The sequence below is a fragment of the Homo sapiens genome, chromosome 6 (genome assembly GCF_000001405.40).
Source record: "Homo sapiens chromosome 6, GRCh38.p14 Primary Assembly".
NCBI lineage: Eukaryota > Metazoa > Chordata > Mammalia > Primates > Hominidae > Homo > Homo sapiens.
Genome location: NC_000006.12, coordinates 53,977,580 through 53,998,077, shown reverse-complemented (window position 1 = coordinate 53,998,077; position 20,498 = coordinate 53,977,580). Strand labels below are relative to the sequence as shown.

General features: G+C 36.8%; 1 long non-coding RNA gene across 1 annotated transcript in view, besides 1 other annotated feature; it reads right to left on the bottom strand.

Moving 5' to 3' along the window:
- Nucleotides 1-410: 410 nt before the first annotated feature.
- Nucleotides 411-20,498, bottom strand: part of LOC101927189 (uncharacterized) — a 67,686-nt gene continuing 47,598 nt past the window's right edge. Inside the window, exons 2-4 of the long non-coding RNA NR_125842.1 lie at nucleotides 15,228-15,320; nucleotides 3,214-3,288; nucleotides 411-3,114 (exon numbers count right to left, since the gene is read on the bottom strand). This is a non-coding gene — a long non-coding RNA (uncharacterized LOC101927189). The remainder of the gene's footprint in view (nucleotides 3,115-3,213; nucleotides 3,289-15,227; nucleotides 15,321-20,498) is intronic.
- Nucleotides 13,252-14,451: an enhancer, noted in NCBI's record as "P300/CBP strongly-dependent group 1 enhancer chr6:53848425-53849624 (GRCh37/hg19 assembly coordinates)". NCBI's record gives its function as "activates an origin of replication core promoter dependent on BRD2, BRD4, P300/CBP, MED14 and CDK7 cofactors, with strong dependence on P300/CBP, by STARR-seq in HCT116 cells {active_cell/tissue: HCT116}" and the evidence as "EXISTENCE:reporter gene assay evidence [ECO:0000049][PMID:35650434]".

The window sequence follows — 20,498 nt, the reverse complement described above, 5'->3', positions numbered from 1 at the left end:
AGGCAGGTCCTTTCCATTTCTTCCTGACTTAAAAGTAGATATGATGGCTGGATTGATGACAGCCATGTTCTAATCACAAGGAAAAGGCTTAAAGAATTAACAGAGATGTCAGACCTGACATAGTTAAGTCATTGAGCCAACTCCACCATCCAATAATGTCTGGGATTCGTTTTCAAGAAAAATTAACTTTTTTTTTTTTAATTCTAAGCTAAGATACTTTAAAGAGAGGCAGTATCCACTCAAGGAAAAAGCATCATTCTAGAAGGAAAGATTTATTCTGGTAAAGGGAAATAAAAAATAATTATACCATATGTGAATTAATGAAGCTTCTTAGAAGAAAAGGCTGCCCTACATGAATTAAATTATTATTACTTACTATCTCTTCCAAACAAATGCACATACATATAAAGTTACTCACTAAATTGAAAGCATACTTTATTTCTGAAGAAAATAAGTAGCATTTAGAAACCAGGGTATTTGTACATAAAGCAAAGACTGGGTTATACAGCACACAAAACAAGAAGGGAAAAATCTATACAATTACATTAACCAGTTTTTTCCAGTGGAACTAATGAATGTAAACATCTCCTTGGTTTCTTTCACACCATTGCCTGTGAGGTTTTTAAAAATACACTTAAAGTGAACATTAGGACATTTTTAATATGACAATGACTTCATTTTATTAATACTGTTTCCAAGTTATACAATCCCTAACTCAAGTTTCAGTTAGTGTTTGCAAATGAAAGACAACCTAAATGGAGTTACATTTTCTTTCTTCTTTTGAAAACAACTTTGTTGAATTGTTAAACCAACTAAGGCACTGGTTTCTATTATTTTTCAACAACAGAAAAATATAAATGGCAAAAATATTAAAGTGTCTTTCTAGCAGAGTCCATAGCTGAGTAAAAAGCATTATTCAAAGAGTCTGAATAAGGGAGCACATCACCACTGGCTCCGTCTTCTGTCTCAGAGTCACCTCAGTCTTGAAATACTGAGTCAATATCCTCAGAAGCCGAAGGACGTGTCAGGATAATCCGAGGTAACTTTGAGATAATCAGAGGTTGTTGAAAAATGAGATGGAGTGGTTTTTAAAAGTAAGGAGGCTAGTGGAAAAATAAGCCAAATGTCAGGAATTGCCATAGAATATGAGTAATCAAGTCAATGTAGTTACAGACAAAGCTGTGATAAAAGCATGAATAAAACAACGTGGCAAATGTTTTAAGTGGCAGAATGAAAAAAATGGATGCAATGAATCCAGTTAGGGCTAGTAAGCCAATAAAACAGTGTTAAGCACTTTAAGAGTGTCAGTCTAACTTTGATATTTTATTACCAATATATGACATGTGCATAATCTGTGCATCAGATGATAATAAGTGCTGGGGTTCACCTGTAATTAAAAGGCCTCGTAACAATTTGCATAGATTTTGGTACACTGTACAGGGGTCTCAAAGTACTCAATGCCAAAACACTTTTTTCTTTCAAACTATAATCTTTAACAGCTACTAAAGCAAAATGATTTAATCAGAATCCCAAATGCTAACAAATGAATGTGTTATTTGCAAGCATCATTTAGTAAGGCAGATTTCACCAAAGTGAAATCCTCATTAGTTTTGTATTATGAAATACAGACAAGAACCAGAAAAGGCCAAAGGACATATATTCAAATCTTTGCCAAAAAGCCTCTTCAAGTTTAGCTATTCTATGGCCGCTATATACTGCTGGGACTCACTGTAAAGAAGAGAAAATCCCCGTCCAGAACGCCAGATTAACGTAACATTTTAAAACTGCAAAGAGTGGGAAAATAAGGTCACATTGGGAATGCAGTCCCAGCACATTGAGCTTTTACTATCTCGTAGTAAAATGTGCATATGTATGCTCTGTGTGCCTGGCATTTTATTCATAAAAAAACATGCATAACAGAGATGAGAACCACAATGGACTCTAATCTATGCTCTAAAGGAATAAACAGATGAAAACCAATCTGGACAAGAAAATTCAGTGAGTCAGGCTCAGAAAATGAAAGCAAGTGTGTCTTATATTTTCTAACACACAATATGGCCAAATATTTATAGTCAAAGCTTGGTGGAGAGCTCTAGCAATTATTGCTTCCAGCCATTTAGGTCTCTGGTTTTGAAAGAACACTTTAGTATTACTAATTTTCCAGATAATAGGAGGCAGTGTAGGAGACAATGTTTTCATCATACAATGTGTAATATTAAACTATAACAAATGTACTTACTTAATCTTTCATTTCTAACTTCAGAAAATCAGAGCAGCTTTCCTATTATTGTGGGGTAAATGAGGCTTTATCACAAACATAAGTCATTTGGAGTCCATAGCTCCTTGAGTGATATGTATAACTAAGAAGACCTGAGAATCACAGACCTAAATCTCATGTCCAGATAATTGAGAATAAAATCTAAAAAATTGAGTTGCTAAATGTAGATTTACTTCCAAAAACCTTAGTGATAAACTTCTAGATTTTTGAATATGTTTTGTATATACTAGAAAGCCTGCATTTCCTTTCGTCATCATCAAAACAATTTGACTGTTCTCTTTCCCGCGTGTTGCTACACTGTGAACGAGTGTGGGCTGTTCCTTCTCTCTAAGACCATGCTTTTCAAAAAGTGATCCAAAGACCCTTATACCGTCTTCGCTGTGCTACTAGTTAAGCAGCTGAAATACGAAGGCCACACTCCCCACTTCTAAATAAAAATGTTTAATGATAGAGCTCAGGAATCTGCATTTTTAACAAAGTTTGAGAACTGGTGCTAGGGAATGTGACCACTCTACTATTTTAGTTGTGACACTTAATTCAGATACTCCCATTAAGTGAATATCAAAATCTTTAGATAATATTTAATTTCAAAATTTCTCCCTTCTGAGGGACCACTTAATATATTAATTCAGAGGGCTTACTTAATTCATCTTTTTATTGTTATATATATTGCCTTGAAAAGGAAAGGTCTTAATTATATACAGAATACAATATATGAGGCTGGGTGTGATGGCTCATGCCTGTAATCCTAGCACTTTGGGAAGTCGAGGCGGGCAGCTCTCTTGAGGTCAGGAGTTCGAAATCAGCCTGGCCAACATGATGAAACCCCGTATCTACTAAAAATACAAAAAAAAAAAACAAAATTAGCCAGGCATGGTGGTGGGCACCTGTAATCCCAGCTACTTGGGAGGGTGAGGCATGAGAACTGCTTGAACCTGGGAGGTGGAGGTTGCAGTGAGCCAAGATCACACCATTGCACTCCAGCCTGGGCAACAAGAGGGAGACTCCATCTAAAAAAAAAAAAAAAAAAAAAAAAATTCAGTATATGATAAAGTTGGTATTGCAAATCATTAAAGCAAAGATTGGCTTTTTATAAGTCATGCTGGACAACTGATTAGCCATTTGGAAAAAGATAAAATTAGATCAATTCTTCACACCATACACAAAAATAAATTCAAAATGAATCAAAGTGTAAAAAATAAAACTATGCAAGTACTAGGGGAAAAAGATGTGTGAATTCCTCTATAAGAAAAGCCTTTCTAACTGTGACTAAAAATTCAGATGTAATTGAAGAAATGAGTGATAAACTTAACTAAATGAAAATTAAAATTTTACAAAGAAAAAATACAAGCAAAGTCAAATAACAAAGTACAAGCCAGGATAAAATATTTGCAATATAAGCAATATTGAATATCTCATAGATAACGGATGGATATTCTTAATATAAAAACAAACTTTTACAAATTAAAGGAGAAAAACATCCTATAGACATATGGGCAAAAAATATAAGTAGACAACTCACAGAAAGATATTTTAAATGGTCCTTAAGCATTTGAAAAGATGTTCAACTTCACTGATAATAGTAGACACAAATTAAACTACAATGAGATACAACTTCTCACCCATCCCATTGGGAAAAATTCAAAAGTGTCACAATACAGTTCATTGCTGGGGCTGTGAGGAAACAGGCACTTTCATACGTTGCTGTTGAGGATCCAAAATGATACAAACTCCACAGAAGAGGATTGGACAATAGCAACCAAAATTACATATGCATTTGTCCATAAACCCAACAATCTCACTTCTAGGAATTTATTCTAAAGATAGTCTTACAACTGCAAAAATACATATCCAGAAGTTTATTCATTGTGGCAGTGTTTGTAATTGCAAATATTAGAAACTGCCTATATGTCTAATCATAGGACACTGTTGAATAAACTCTAGTACAAACACACAATGGATACTCTGTCATGGTAAACAAGAATGAGAAAGCTCTCTATGGACTGATATGGAATGATGGTCAAAAGATCTTGTAAAGTGAAAAATCAAAGCACCAGAGACTGTATGTAATACCACTATCTTTGTTTAGGAAAGATGGAAAAATAAGAAAACATACATATATCTTATATTTACCAAAAATTCACCAGAATGAAAAGCCAGAAACAATTATTAATATGTTGGTTACCCACAAAGGGTGAAGGTGATGAGAGTGCCAGGGCTGTAAAAAGGAGGAACACTTTTCTGAGTATATCTTTCTGTAAGTTTTGACTTTTGAAAGCATGTTAATGCTTGACATATCCAAAACAATTAAATCAACAAGGATAGGAAAGGGAGAAACTGAAACAATGAACCCAATTGTATTTCAAATGAATACTATAATTACAATGCAGGGCAAAAAATAACTAATTTTCATAACTTACAACAGTTTTGACTGCACATCCTACAGCCCTCAGCCTTGGGCAGGGTAGGGAGATGGAAAAACTGGAAACTAGAGATCCTGAACTCTTTTGAGTAGCTTTGCATTTTTGTAGACATGGGTGAAGTCATTCTGAAACTACTTTAGGTGTATTATGAGATTGAGCAAATGTGTAAATCTATCGATTTTAGAAGCCAAGACTCTCACTGTGAAAGAAGGTACATGCAAATATGGAATGGAGGAAGGCAAAAAAGATGAATTGAAAATGGAGGTATTGGTGTACACTTATGATACCTAAAATATGCACATGTATGTGTATAAACATGTATGTGTGCATATAATGTGTATGTATGTGCATTTATATGTATGTATGTAAGAGTGTGTATATGCATGCATATATCTCCTAGCTCTGTTCACTTAAAAAGGTGTAGAAGCAGAGATATTCCAGGAGCAAACAGCACAGCTAGTGCATGGATTTTTATCTCTAACACCATTCCCCACCAAAAGGGGCTTTTAGAGAAGTGGTTCTTAGAGAAGTCGCTGAAAGCAGGGCTGGGGAAGTGTGATGAGCCTGGAACATTTTGTTATATCAGAGGTAAGGATGTGCTCCAAAGATTAATGGACATATGGCACAGGCATACCTAGCCAGCTCGAAAGGACCCCAACTGGCCAAATTTGGGATAATCCAAGCACCAAGCTAAATAAGGATAATAATTATATACCACTTGGGGGAAGGTGGGGTGGGGAAACAGAAATCCGTGGGTTCATACAGATAATACACACTGCTATGGTGTGAATATATGTATCCCCCCAAAATGCATGTGTTGAAACTTAACCTCTAGAGTAATGGTATTAAGAGGTGGGATCTTTGGGAGGTGATTAGGAATTAATGTTCTTATAAAAGGGGCCTGAGGGAGTTTGTTCACTCTTTCCACCACGTGAGGACAGAGAGAAAGCACCATGTATAAGGAAAGGGCCCTTACAAGACACCAAATATGCTGGTGCCTTGAACTTGAACTTCCCAGTCTCCAGAACTGTGAGTAATAAATTTCTACTATATATAGACTACCCAGTGTAAGGTATTTTGTTATAAGGTATTTTGTTATAGACAGACTAAGACACATTCATCCATACACGAGGAAAAGGCAGGGTCCTTGGTTAAAGTAGAAGGTCACATGCTGACTGGTAAACATGGAGGGAGTGCTGAAGTGATCCTTGTCATTTTGTTGCCATCACAGCAAAGATTGGTTCAGGTAAGAATCCCAATAGATGCTAAATCTGAGGGGAAATTGTAATGAGGAGCAGGATATTTGGGTGGTCTTAAAGTGTCTCTCTTCAAACTCATTATTTTGCAAAGGAGAAAATAGTAACTATTTACAGTTGGAGAAATAGGACAACACTCCTACTGTGTGAGGAAAACTGGTGTCACCAGGGAGGGGCAGATAGACATCGTGTGCCTCCAGATGTGGCTGTCTGAGAAGCACACAATATCACATATGCAATATCCTGGCCAGGAATGCAGAACTTAAATCTAATCATGAGGAAACATCAGACAAATTCAAAATACAAAGACTCCTGTTTATAAAAAGTATGGGGACTCTGTCTTCAAATCTGTCACTGTCACAAAGGGCAAAAAAAAAAAATTTTTTAAAGGCTATGGCAATGTTTTAGAGATTAAAGAAACATGACAACTAAGTGCAGTATCTGTCCCTAAACTGGATCCAGTACTGGTGGAAAAAGAAGCTATAACAAACATTGGGCCAATGAGATAATTGAAATACAAATTAAAGTATTAATGTCATATTTACTGATATTGAGGGCTTCTCTGTGGTTATTTATGAGAATATAACTATATATAAAAAATACTAAACTATTTAGGCATAAAAGACCATGCTATGTAAAACTTGTTCTCAAATTCTTTAGTAAAAACAAAATATTTTATGGGATATACACATTATTATACATGTATTTATATATCTGTGTGCAGATATACATTATGCACATATATATGCTATGTGGAGAGAGAAAGAAACAGAACAGAGAGTGCACAAATGATTAGGCAAATTGACTACAATGTTGACAATAGAAGCTGGGTAAAGGGTTAACTGATGTTCTTTCTACTATTCCTATTCAAGTAACTTCTATACGTTTGCAATTATTTCCAAATAAAAAGTCAAAAATATACACAGGCCTTTGTATTAGTCCGTTTTCACACTGCTATAAAGAATACCTGAGACTGTGTAATTTATAAACTGACTCACAGTTCCGCATGGCTGAGGAGGCCTCAGGAAACTTACAGTCATGGCAGAAGGCAAAGGGGAAGCAAGCAACTTCTTCACAAGGTGACAGGAGAGAGAAAAGAGCAGGGGAAACCACCACTTACAAAACCATCAGATCTCATGAGAACTCACTCACTATCATGAGAACAGCATAGGGGAAACTGCCCCCACGATCCAATCACCCCCCAACCTGGTCCCTCCCTTGACACATGGGGATTACAATTCGAGATGAGATTTGGGGTGAGGACACAGAGCCAGACCATATCAGCCTTCAATAAGTGTTTGATGTCTTACCAGTAAATTTCATGATGTATAAAGCATAAAGTAAAAAAAAACAGTGTATGGCAAAATACGTATTTATGCATTTTAAATGTTCATCTCTCAGTTGGCTCATCTAAAGGTAGATAGAATAAACAGAAGGAAGAAATTTGAATATGTAATTGGATTAGAAGATAAAGGTCAGACTATCAGGAGTAGTAAAATCAAAGTTAATGGAAAGCGTTGTCCTACCAACCTGTAGGGAGGAAAAGAAAAAGTACTTATGTCTCAGAAGCATTCATTCAACTCCAGAGGACCAAGTCCACCAGTAAGAGTCACCTTTTCAAAGGATTACATTCATACATTCAGTTTTTTTCTTACATTTCAAATTGTTGACAAATAAAACCCAAGATAATGTTGCACCTTTGAGCCCTCGGGTAATCTCTTTTTTAATGTTAGTATTTTACTTCTATGAAGAGAGTCACAAATATCTGATAAACACATTCTAAAGAAGACCATAAATATAGATAGCACTGGGGTCTCTTTACAATTTCTTAATGACTCTTCTGGACATTAGTGTGATACATCAAGAGAAAAATTCAGAGACTAAATTCAAGTTTAATGACAAAATGAGAACATTCTCAGTGGGAATTTAAAACTGAACACTGATACTCAAAGCATAAATAAACGAAAAACAATCAGAAGAAAATCTCCAAACTGCCTTCGTTATCCCCAGGTGACCTGGTAAGAACATTTTTTTCTGAGATTTGGTAATTGCTCAAAAATTGTATCCTTTTTCTCCCTACCCTACTATCTTTTAGAAAAGATGAGTCTGAACAATAAGATGTATCTTATATAAAATGCTGGGAGTTAAATATGGATTAAGTCCAATTAAGACCTCTTAAAAAACCACCAACACTTTTGAGTGACCACGACTATAAGAAGTCTTTCTTTTTCTGGTACATATTAAAAAACAAAAACAAACAAAAAAAAGGAACATTCACACAAACAGGTTAATGAAACCCAGAAGAAACAGGATGAAAGAATGACCAGCAGAGATGAAAGCTAACAGCAGCATAAAAAAGAAAACCCTCTAAAAGGTCAGAGAGTGAAGTGAGAAAAGGAAAAAAAAACAGTGTTAGTTCAAGACAGGCCAGCTGGAAGCAAATGTTTTTGGATTTTTATACTACAGACTTACAAAACAGTCCAGCCAATGCATGATGGAAGCCACTAATTTTAAAGCAAATGTATTTTGTTTAGGAGATGCTGTGAGAACCCAATGTCCAACAAAGGAAATATTTGCATTGCCAATTTGAGTATACCTAAAGTGACATCACTTAGTTTAAACCTCCCACTGTGAGGTTAAAGAAATTGACTAGAAATGTATCTGAATTAAAAATGGAGAGTTCTGAGAATACCCCATCAGTAGCATTGTGAGAAAATATTATTGACTGTTTTGAATCATCACCGAGGGAAAGGATATTTTCATTTTGTAAGAAGTTTGTAATTTTTTTTACTATGAGATGAAATCTAAGAACTATATTAGAAGCAAGCAAAATAGCTTTCACAACTTACTGAGTAAAACCTAAACAATATTTTTATGACAAAAGTATATCTATATATTATTAATAGGATTGGTTAAACCTAAAAATGAAGACCAACTCTGTTTCATAATGTTTTCTTATTTTTTTAAGGTGTCTACTTTCACAAAATTTTCAGAATTCATATATTTGGTTTTTCATCGTTCTCCAATACGGAAAACTGACTCACGTTTCAATCTTCTTAAATGTAACTTTCTTTCTTCTAGAAGATGGTCCTAATAAGAATGCTTCTTGAAATATAGACAAGAATAAGATGTTATCTTAGCTCTAACACTCAGGCAAAATCCAGCCCCTGTGAGATCCAGGATATCATCCCTCAGTCTCATATTAAAAAACAGTTCTAAATCTGGCTTGGCCTGAATCGTTGCTTTGTGTGTCTGTATCTTTTAAATTATAAGCTTTCCAGATTTTATGTAACCCAACGTGTTGCATATGAATATTGCTTTCTATTACATCTAGCATGTGTTCAACCTCAGTACTCAAATTAAATTGACCACCACCATGGATCAGTCACTCATTAACTCTGCTCATTACCTCTGCAGCACCTTCAAGGAGAGATCACTTATTCCTTCAGATTTTTTTTTCCCTGATCCAGTTCATTAGATTCCATACTACCTACAACCTACCCAATTAGGTAATTAAAGGGTGAAGTCCAGATACACGTCTGGAAACATTTCTGGGGCAACAGAGTAGAGGCTGGTGCCCTAGGGATGAGCGCCCTACACTCTCTTCTCCACTCTATGCATCCCTCTCCTTCTCCCCCACAACACCACCCCTCATACCCCATGCAAGAAATCCCAAGAGAGGAAACCTTGACCACACCCACAACAAGGGCAAGGCAACGTTTTGGTATTTTGAGACTAGCTAGGAAGGTTGATGGAACTGCAAAACATAATTAGATACATGGGAAAACATTCAGGGCAATTATTAATTAAACAGGAACTGAGTGTGAAAACCTTCAAAACAAGAGTTTTTGGAGCCTCATAAATCAAGAAATCAGGAAACTTTTCTTCCCATTGTAAAAAGTGGTTAAGTGGGCTATGTTAAGAGTCAACTTACTACATAACTAACTACTTTTATAGTATTAATACTAGATAATTTTTCTTTCCTGAGACTAAAAAACTTGTAATCTTTTCCTCTCTTATATAAAAATTATTGAAAAGGTAAGTTATCTGAAAAGGCTTTTAGGCATTTACTTTAAGGGTCCAATTATTTCTTTTTTTCTACTCTTTTCCAAGCAGAAAAGATAGATTGATTGTTGCAGAGTTTCCTAAAAGCAGATACTAAGATAGATTTTGGATCAACACCTGTGAATGGCAGCAAACAAAGATGGATTTGGCAAAGGAAAAAGAAGGATTGCCATGCAGGCCCAACAAGCCTGAACCAACCCAACTGGGAGCTCAGAAGTGTAGGATCCAACAGAGATGGCCCCTTTAGGCAGAAGTGGCTGGGCCGCTATCCCTCTCTCCATCTCAGTTAATGGAGGTGGGCTGCTCAGGCTGAGGGCGAAAGGACAGGCGTCTCTCTGCAGCTGAGGCAGACACAGAAGGCTATGAAGACTATGGGTTGCCTGATGCCTGCACCCCCCACAGCTGGCCAGCAAGCCCATCCTTGAAGCAGAATCCAGCAACACACCTTCTTGTCTACAGCAGTGGTATTAACCGACTAGACTAGGGTGCTACTTAGTTGCCTCTCTTAAAGGCACTTGCAGGCTCTGATTTATAGAGACATGTCTTTTAACAAAAAACATTTAACATTTGTAAACCAATTTTTAAAACCCAGGGAAAGTAATTCGTGGGGAGGCCTGCCTTGAGCTTGTCCGCATGTTTGTTAAGCCTAGTTTCGTCAGCCAAGGTTGGCAAGCATTTACTCTGGAAAAACTACCATCACATCTGTTCCTTACCCTAAAGCTCTGCAGCTTGCTCGGGTGTGGTGATCCCCATAGCAAATGGCAGAAATCATCTGGAGGAGTGACCATCTTTAAACATCTTCAAGAACTACAGAAACACAAACCAGAGTGATTTCTGGCTTGCTTGTCAGCCCCTGGGCACAGACCAACATGGACAAGTGCTTTCCGGTTGATTATGTAAACAAGCTCCATAGGCCCCTCTCAAACATCGCTGCCACTGCTGCCTAAGGAGAAACAACACTGCGAGGCGACATGCATAACAACCCCTCCTCAATCAAGCTGTCCCTAGGAGTTTCTTTCTTTCTCTAGCATAATCATAGTTCTCATCCAGCTACGGCAGGCACTTTGCTATGTTGCCATGGGGATTACACTGAAGATAATCACTTGTGAACATTTGCAGATCCAGACAGCCCACTAGGGCCTGATGTTGCTTTGCCCCGTCAATCTGAATATGCTCATTAAAGACTCAGCCACTTGGCTCTTGATTTTAGTCCTAATGCTGACCCTCTTCCTCACAGCCATGAGTCTTTGAACAAATCTTTTCTGAACCTGTTTCCTCAGCTGAAAATGGGGTGGGAGAATGTGTGGTTGGTACAGATGATGACTAACTCCAAAATTAATTCCAGGTGCTATGATACTGCTGCACTCATCCAAAGGGACACTTCTCTATCATGACTCAATTACCATGCAATTAAAAAAATTTCAAAGTACCTATTAAATGATGCCCAGATGCCCAGCAATAATAAAATTATATCCCAATCCAATAGCTGGGTTTTTAACAAGAGAATAATCCGTATACAACTCAGGTTGTGGGGTGGTATGAGGTTGAGATAGCCTACTTTCTTTTTAAATCAACCCAGAGTTTGCTTAAAACAAACAAGAACTTAACTTAGGTTATTTGAAAGTTCATTCAAAAAAGCAAACTCCGATGAAGAAAAACCACAATGAAACTATTCTCAGCTCTTCTTCTGAGGTGAGACTGACACCTGCTGGCCTCCTTCTCCTGTGCAGACACCCTTTGGATAGAATACACTTTTGCAAGATTCTAATCCTATTTATGCAAATGTATCTAGAATTACAGTTATTTGAAAAGAAATGCATGAGCGCATTTATACAGGAGAGGTACTAAGAGCAAGATACAATAATATTTCAGTTATATGTTTGGAGACTAGGAGGAAGGCAGTGTGATGTGGTCCCTAGCTGGCTGCAGGTTCCAATCCCAGTTCTACAACTCTCATTTGAGGATTAGGATTGAGAAAATCACAGGTCAACAATAAATACCTTTCTCTTTCTCTCTCTCTCTTAAATCTCTCTCTCTCTCTCTCTCTCTCTCACACACACACACACACACACAATGATTCAAAGATTCTTTAAGAAATTTGTTTCAAATTTTCACCATCATTTATAAAGCTCTTTAATCTGTTAGTGATAATTACGTGTTTATAGAAATCAAGGTGACAGACAATATAAGAGAAAATGAAAGAGAGAAACCAAAAATAAAGAAAATAAAGGGAGAGAGAAAAAGATGAAGATAGAGTCAGAGGTAGATATGGAAAAAGAGGCAAAACGTGAAGTGGCAGATCCAGGCATAAAGAAACAAATGCCTCAGAAGACAGAGACAGAGAAATCTTGAGTAAGGAAGCAACATAGAAGATTGTTGACTTCCCCCAAACTAAAACTACTTGATAAAGTAGAGGAAAAATGATCCAAGAGCATTTAAGTTGTTTGTTGGCTGACATTTCATTTAGCTGGCTGGTCTCCTAAGCTGCCAATTTTCTCCTTGTGACTCTGTGGTAAGAAAGATCGTGCACAGTTCCTATGGTTCCTCCACAAAGCAGCAGAACATTCTCTGTAATATTCTCTGCAATGAAGAGCACATTTCTGAGGCAACACTAAGAAGTCAAGAGTTTCATTTAAAAGGGGGCTTCTTAAAGTAAGAAGTCCCTTTGGATGTATGCAGCAGTATCATAGCACCTGGAATTTTGGAGTTAGCACTGAACACTTCATTTTCTTCTAATCGGTTTCATAGCACTGGGGTGATTATACTTGGGGAAGCAGGAGGGGTGAGATGTAAATGCAGCCAAGGCATGTATATGATGTCTAGGTGGCTCCACCCTAAATGAACCCCAGGATAGCAATAGAGAAAGCACAACATATTCAGCTGAAATTAAAAATGAATCAGAATTAATCTAGATATGCTGAAAACTAGAATGATATATGCTTCTTCTGCTATAATTTTTCTGCTTTTTGTTTGGAGTAGAAGTCAGATTTATCCTCTCTGAATCTCTGATTCATTATCCATAATGCGCGGACACCAGCAACCTACCCTATTTACCCTGAAGGATTATGAACATCAAATGAAATAATGTCTGTGAAAACACTGTAAAATTTTCCAGGACTGAAAAATTGTGGACTCATAAAAAAAAATTCTTTCTGGATAGGTGGCAGAGTAAACAGCCTTGGAGAACAGAAAGATGCTAAGCCAAAGCCATCTCCAAGCAGAAAAACCATTCCCAACAGGACCATGCCCTCCCACTAGGCATTTGGCCAAAAACTCTCAGAAGCCATGGTACGGAGGCTTAGGGACAGGGTTAGCCAATGGGAATATTAGGCACACAAAAGTTCCGTTTCTGCCTCTCAGAGTTGATTTAAACAGATGTTCTATCCATTCTTCATTTGAACAAGCTGTTATCAAGTTGGTTTCAAATTACTAGGGAAGAAAAACTGAATACACCCTTCCATCCCTCGAATTGCAGATTAGAAGTGGCTATATAGGCGCTGCTGGAGAAGAACAAAATGAAGCTTCTCCTATGAGTAGGTTCCAACCTTGGTCTTAGCTGTCACTCACCAACCCTTGGTTTTGTGTGTGTGACTCACAGAATGAGGATCCTGGGCAGGGGTGCATTTTTCCCAGGTCCCAGGCACCCCTGGCTCTCAAATGAACATTTGATTCCACAGAGTCAGACAATGACCACACAGAGGAAATGAATCACAGTCATGTCATCACTTATATGCTTTTCCAGTTATTTGGGATAATTATACTCTGACGCATGATTGAGTGAGTTCTTTAAAATTTAGAACTTTGAAAACCACATAGAATCAATTATTAATGTTATCTAGAAACAACCTCCTAATTGTGCCTAAAAAGCAAGTAGTTGGACAAAAAGACTCAGAAAAGTTCCTTCCAGAATGGTAATATTGGTTTGTTTTTATTTCCCTAGTTATATGAAAGGTGGATCTAATCATGATTTTGTGACCTTGATAGAGAAGTCCAAATAGAGCGCACATACCCCCAGAGTAGGCAAAAAGAAATGATCATAACTACAATTTATATTTATTTTTTACCTAATATTTTTAACAATTATAACATTGTGTATATTTATGAAGTGCATAATGCCAAAATGCACTTAAACAATTTAAATATTTACATGATACATAAATAAAAATTTTCATTAATATCAGTGCCCTATCCCCAAAAAACTTTGCAGAACGTGGAAATACAATGAAGTATATTCTGCCATGTAAAAAAAAGTCACATGTTGCCTGGTAGTTTGGTTGATACTAAAGGCTCGGTTCTGTCCCAAGCTAACATGTGTCATAGGCTAATATTAAAATCCTTTAACTTTTATCCTAAGTGCAACCAGTAAAATAGTGAAAATCCATTAATGTAATCAATTACAACTGATATAGTTTGGATGTTAGTCCCTCCAAATTTCATTGAAATGTGACCCCCAGTGTTGGAGGGTGGGCCTGGTGGGAAGTGTTTGGGTCACGAGGGTGGAGCCCTCAGGAATTCCCTGTGAAACTGAGTTCTTGATCTATTAGTTCATGTGAGAGCTGGTTGTTTAAAGAGTCTGGTGCCTCCCTCCCCTCTCTCTTGCTTCCTTTTTCAACATGTGACATACCTGCCTTCCCTTCACCTTCCACCATGACTGGAAGCTTCCAGGGGCCTCCACAGAAGCCAAGCAGTTGCTGGTGCCATGCTTATACAGCCTGCAGAACTGTGAGCCAAACAAGCCTCTTTTCTTTTTAAATTACCCAGCCTCAGGTATTTCTGTATAGCAAGGCAAAACAGACTAATAAAACAACTAAAGCAGAAGTAACGGAGACTGGTCTAGTGGCATTACAGATATCATTGTATAACACCCATGTAACCTACACACAAAGCCATGAAAGTACTAATGTCAATCATAGGTATTATCTTTATATTTCTCAATAGAAGTGTGTCATAACATTGTAGCCATGTAAAGCTAACTGGGAATTGAGCTTTTCTTCAATCCAAAGACTGGGAAATTAAACTTGATCTTCAAAATGGCAGTTAAGGGCATAAGAAGCTAACATGACAACCACGTCCTTGTCAAAAAGTGCATACCTTTATATTGACCTCATCTGACAAATGTCAGGAATTGCAGACAGAAAAGATGGTACAACACTGGCTTAAATATAGCATCAAGGAGCCATCTATGCCTGTATATGTGTAACTTACTGTGATTACGTGATTCACTTTCCAGAATGAGGCACACTTCAAAGTTGACTCATCGGCAAAATCAGGTGAGCCAGGTTCTAAGACAGTGCTTTCCTAGGAAGCAAAAATTAATTTATCAAGCTCCTCTTATTTTATTATGTCTGGCCTTGAATTTTAAATAAATAGAAATGATCTACATGGTCTTCCATTCACCTCATTCTGACAGAATCCAACCCCCAAAGCTATGGAGATGTTGACTTCCTCCTGATTCAATGAATAAAATTGGGATGACAGAATCCCTTGGGCATGACTTTCTCTGTAAGTGCTGCTAAAGAGGGCGGTAAATTCCACTCCTCAGCTACTGCCAAGGACCAAAGCAAACAGCAAATGCACTCCAGAGGTCAATTGCAAGAGGTTTTCAAAATTGTTCCTTTATTAATACACAACTGATTGATCAAGGACATGGACAATAAGTTATTGCTACTTATCAACCTAATGGCCTAACACTCTTACTTACCCTGGTTTGTGGTTGGCAGAAAAGTAGATCCTTTATTGGCCTCAGTGAGTCCTCAGCTTGCTTTCTTCCCTACATTCTGCCCCTCACTTTGATAAACCATGTCTACTCATTGCTTTGGTAATCATTATGATACTCATGTAACCAGTTTTTGTTTATCTGGCTTTCCTTAATGTTCTTTTTTTTATGGATGAATTGATTGATTTGTTGATTTTAATGGGGAGACTTAGTGTTATGCTTGTATCTAGATGAATTCAGACTAATGAGTAAGGTGGTCACATGAGTATCATAATGATTACCAAGGTCAATAGCTTGCAATCCAGCATCCTTATCGATACCACACTGTACATGTCTTACAAAACGGATTTAAAATATCATACAGATGTAATTACCAGGAGTTACTATAGATCAGTGGTCCCCAACCTTTTTGCCACCAGGAACCAGTTTCATGGAAGACCATTTTTCCATTGACCAGGGGTGGCGGTTGGGAGTTGGTTTCAGGAATAAACTTCCACCTCAGACCATCAGGCATTAGGACATTAGATTCTCATAAGGACCATGCAAACTAGATCCCTCGCATGCGCATTTCACAATAGGGTTTGGGCTTCTGTGAGAGTCTAATGCCACAGCTGATTTGACAGAAGGCGGAGCTCAGGTGGTAACGCTTGCTCACCTGCCGCTCACCTCCTGCTGTGCAGCCTGGTTCCTAATAGGCCACAGACCAGTACCAGTCCAAGGCCCAGGGGCTGGGGACCCCTGCTCTAGATGATGCCTGCTGGAGTCTCTACCTATCCCATAATCCTTATTCCCTGAAATCTGGGTTTCATGTTTATACTCTTGTCATCCAGACTCTGCCTCCACCACAGCTGACTGGACAAGCAGGGATCACCTGACCAGGGGATGGCCTGACCCGGGGGAATCATCTGGCCAGTGAAGATCACCTAACTAACAAGGATCACCTGTTCTCTGAAATCCAAAAGTTACAAGCATATGAAAAAATGCCTAACAACCCTAATCATCAGATAAATGCAAATTAAAACCACAATGACATATTACCTTACACCAGTCAGAATAGCCAGTACTAAAAAGTAAATGGATGTTGATGAGGATAGGGATAAAAAAGAATGTTTATACACTGTTGGCAGGAATGTAAATTAGTACAACCTCTATGGAAAACAGTATGGAGCTTTCTCAAAGCGCTAAAAATAGAACTACCATTCAACCCAGCAATCCCACTACTGGGATTTACTGATATCTACCCAAAATAAAGAAATCATATAAAAAAGACACCTGCACTCATAGTTTAATCACAGCACTATTCACAATAGCAAAGTTATGGAATCAACCTAAGTATCCATCAATGGATGAATGGATAAAGAAAACATGGTATATATACAGCATGGAATACTAGGCAGCCATAAAAAAGAATGAAATCATGTCTTTTGCAAAAACATGGAGAAACTGGAGGCTATTATCTTAAGTAAAACAACTCAGAAACAGAAAGTCAAATACAGCGTGTTCTCACTTATAAGTGGAAGCTAAATAATGTGTACACAGGAACATAGAGTGTGGAGTAATAGACGTTAAAGACTCAAAAGGGTGGGTTGGTGGGAGGGGGTAAGGAATGAGAAATTACTTAGTGGATATAATGCATGTTATTCAGGTGATATTTATACTAAAAGCCCAAACTTCACCACTATGCAATACATCCATGTAATAAAACTGCATTTGTACTTCTTAAAATGTATGCAAATAAAAAACCAAAAAAAATAAATCAAGAAAAAAACTTTATACAGAGATAGTTCTGTAAAATCAGGGAAAACTGCAATTGTATTCCTCTGATAAAGTCAGAACGTTTTCCTCTTTGTTTGGAGATTTTTATGGTTTTAAAAAATTCAATTCCAAATAAATACATAAATAAATTAATAAAACAAAAGGAAAATTAGCAGTCAAAGAAAAATTCAATTCTACATATTTATTTGATATGGGCACCATTGGCATTCATACCCATTCTTTTGTTTGTTTGCCTTGGTTGTTAATGCTTTTTAAAGTTAACATTTTTGATTTTTAAACAAAAAAATATATAACAGAAAAAAATTTAGACTTGGTCTGCTATTTTATTCCATTTATGATTCTGATATATTACACCAAATCTGGTTTAAAACTGAAAAATATAAATATCCCCAAGCAAAAAAAGTCTTAACTTTTTCTAGTTTCAGTGCTTTAAATGGTTTGATATGTAACTGTGATCCATATTTGAATACGTACATGTAGTAAAAAAAGTTTTGTTTTATATTTTTTGTTGTTACCTTTATCTTTATAAAGATGAAAAAAAATTAAATTATATAACAATTGTAAAATAAACCAGTGTTCTCAAAGGGCAGATGCACACACCTCAGGGATATGCAACCCCCAAAAAAGATTCACTGTAGTGCAGGAAAGAAATATTAAAACTTCAGTCTATCATAGCCTTTTATATTTCAATTTTTCTATAGGTGTGTCTTATAATTGCCACAATATATTAGTGCAATATTAGGTATATAATTTATTTTTAATTGGACATATACATATTGGGTTTGCAAGCCTAAAAATGATCACAGTGCCCTTTTGAAAAGTTTAGGAACCACTGATAGTCAAGACAGAGAGCCACTTTTTCTTGCCAGCCTTTTTCAATCCTAGAACACAGCACCATCTGGTGGTATCCTGAGATAATGCATGCATGATATTTGAGTAGTTTTTATAAGAAAAATATTGTTGTCATTCAGATAACAAGACAAATCAATAATAACCATTCTAAATTAGTAATACACCATTTTAACTAAATCATGGGCAACTGTGAAAATAGTATTTCTATTGTTTCCTACTACTGCTTCTAGGTTCTTAGGCCAACTTCTCTCTCCTCCTGACTTGCCTTCCTATACAATTTATCTAGGAAAATCTTATTCTGCCTTTAAAACTTATCTCATAGTCCACCTCTTTGCCTCCTTTCCTGAGCACACCAGCTCATTAGCTGCACCCTTCTCCATACTTCATAGGTACCCCCCTTAAACCACTTGTCCCATTGACTTACAATGATGTGACATGTCATTCTTTCTATTAAATTCTAAAGAAGCACTGTCTAGTAAGAAGATAATTGACCCACAAATGCAAGTCACACACATAACTTTCAATTTTCTAGTAGCCACACTTAAAGAAACAGATAAGATTTATCTTAATATATTGTATATAATCTTAATTTTATATTGTATATTATCTTAATATATTGTATATAGTATACATACATACATATGTAAGACTTATCTTAATATATTGTATATAATCTAATATATCTAAAACATCATTTTAATATATAATGTATAAAACATTAATAATGAAATAGTTTACTTTTTTGTATGAGGACTTCACAATTCAAAGTGGGTTCTATATCTATAGCACATCTTAACTGGGACTTGCCGTATTTCCAGTGCACAATGGCTATGTGTGTCTAGTGGTCGCTGAATTGGACAGTGCAGTTCTAAAGGCAAGGCTAGTATCTTCTTGCACTTAGTGAATGTTCAATAAATGCTTAAAAAATAACTTTAAGTTCACAATTCCACTAGTTGTTCCTGGGAAAATCTATCCTCTCTCTATCATGCATTAGGTCTCTACAAATAAATACCATAAAGAAGCTACAAGCAGCCAGGCATGGTGGCTCACACCTGTAATCCCAGATACTCAGGAGGCTGAGGCATGAGAATCGTTTGAACCTGGAGGCAGAGGTTGCAGTGAACCAAGATGGCCCCACTGCTCTCCAGCCTGGGTGACAGAGCAAGACTCTGTATCAAAAAAAAATAAAAGAAAAGAAGAAGAATCTACAATCAAGTCAAGTCTCTCCTTAAGAGGAAAATAAGAATCTATGGTAAATCATATAAATTACCTAGTTTTGTTTCAACAATTCCTTTTAGAGGTAAGTTTTATGCTCATGTATTTCAATGTATTTAAATAATAGTCTTAAAATCAGCAATTGTCAGACTCTTAATTATGCAACTGGACATCTCCTTGTAATACTTGACACCTTTTGAATCACTTTTTAAACATCCTGCCCTACCAGCACAGTGAGCAAAGACTATTCTGTTTTGCTCATTGTTCACATTTTGCGCCTATCTCCATGGCTGGCATTTAGTAAGTAATGCATAGTAAGGATTCTAAGAATATATTTGTTCATTTGAACAATTTGAGGGCTCAGATCAATATATGCTCAATTTTATGTATTTTTTCCACTCATTCCAAAAACATGGAGTTCAGAACTACATGCTGAGTATTTGAGGCAGAGAGGGTTATGAAATGTGGCTCCTGGGTTCCAACAGCCCCAGTCTAATACACAAGATTCAAAGTTTAATACTAGCTCAAGACTCTCCTTCGCCGAGAAGCTCTTCCCAGACCACCCCTACATCCTGTGTCCATGAAGAAAACTGGGCCTTACATATGCTGCCAGCATTTCTGTCTACCACACCCAGGGAAGCAGGTAGGCCAGGTGTTTTTCCCCTTCTTATAGACTTCAACAGGTTAAATAACTCAGGGTCAGCATCTTAATAAATAACTAAACCAGTAAGAGAAGAAAAAACTTCTGATTCTTAGAGCATATTTTCACTATTGTGGTTTTATGCCCAAAGTTTGAGGATACATTTTCCAGGTCAGTTAATCTTTAGTATATTATTGTCTATTTATAATTAACTTCTGCTTTTTTTTTTTACTTTGTATCTTTTTTTTTTTTTTTTTAATTGAGACGGAGTCACCCT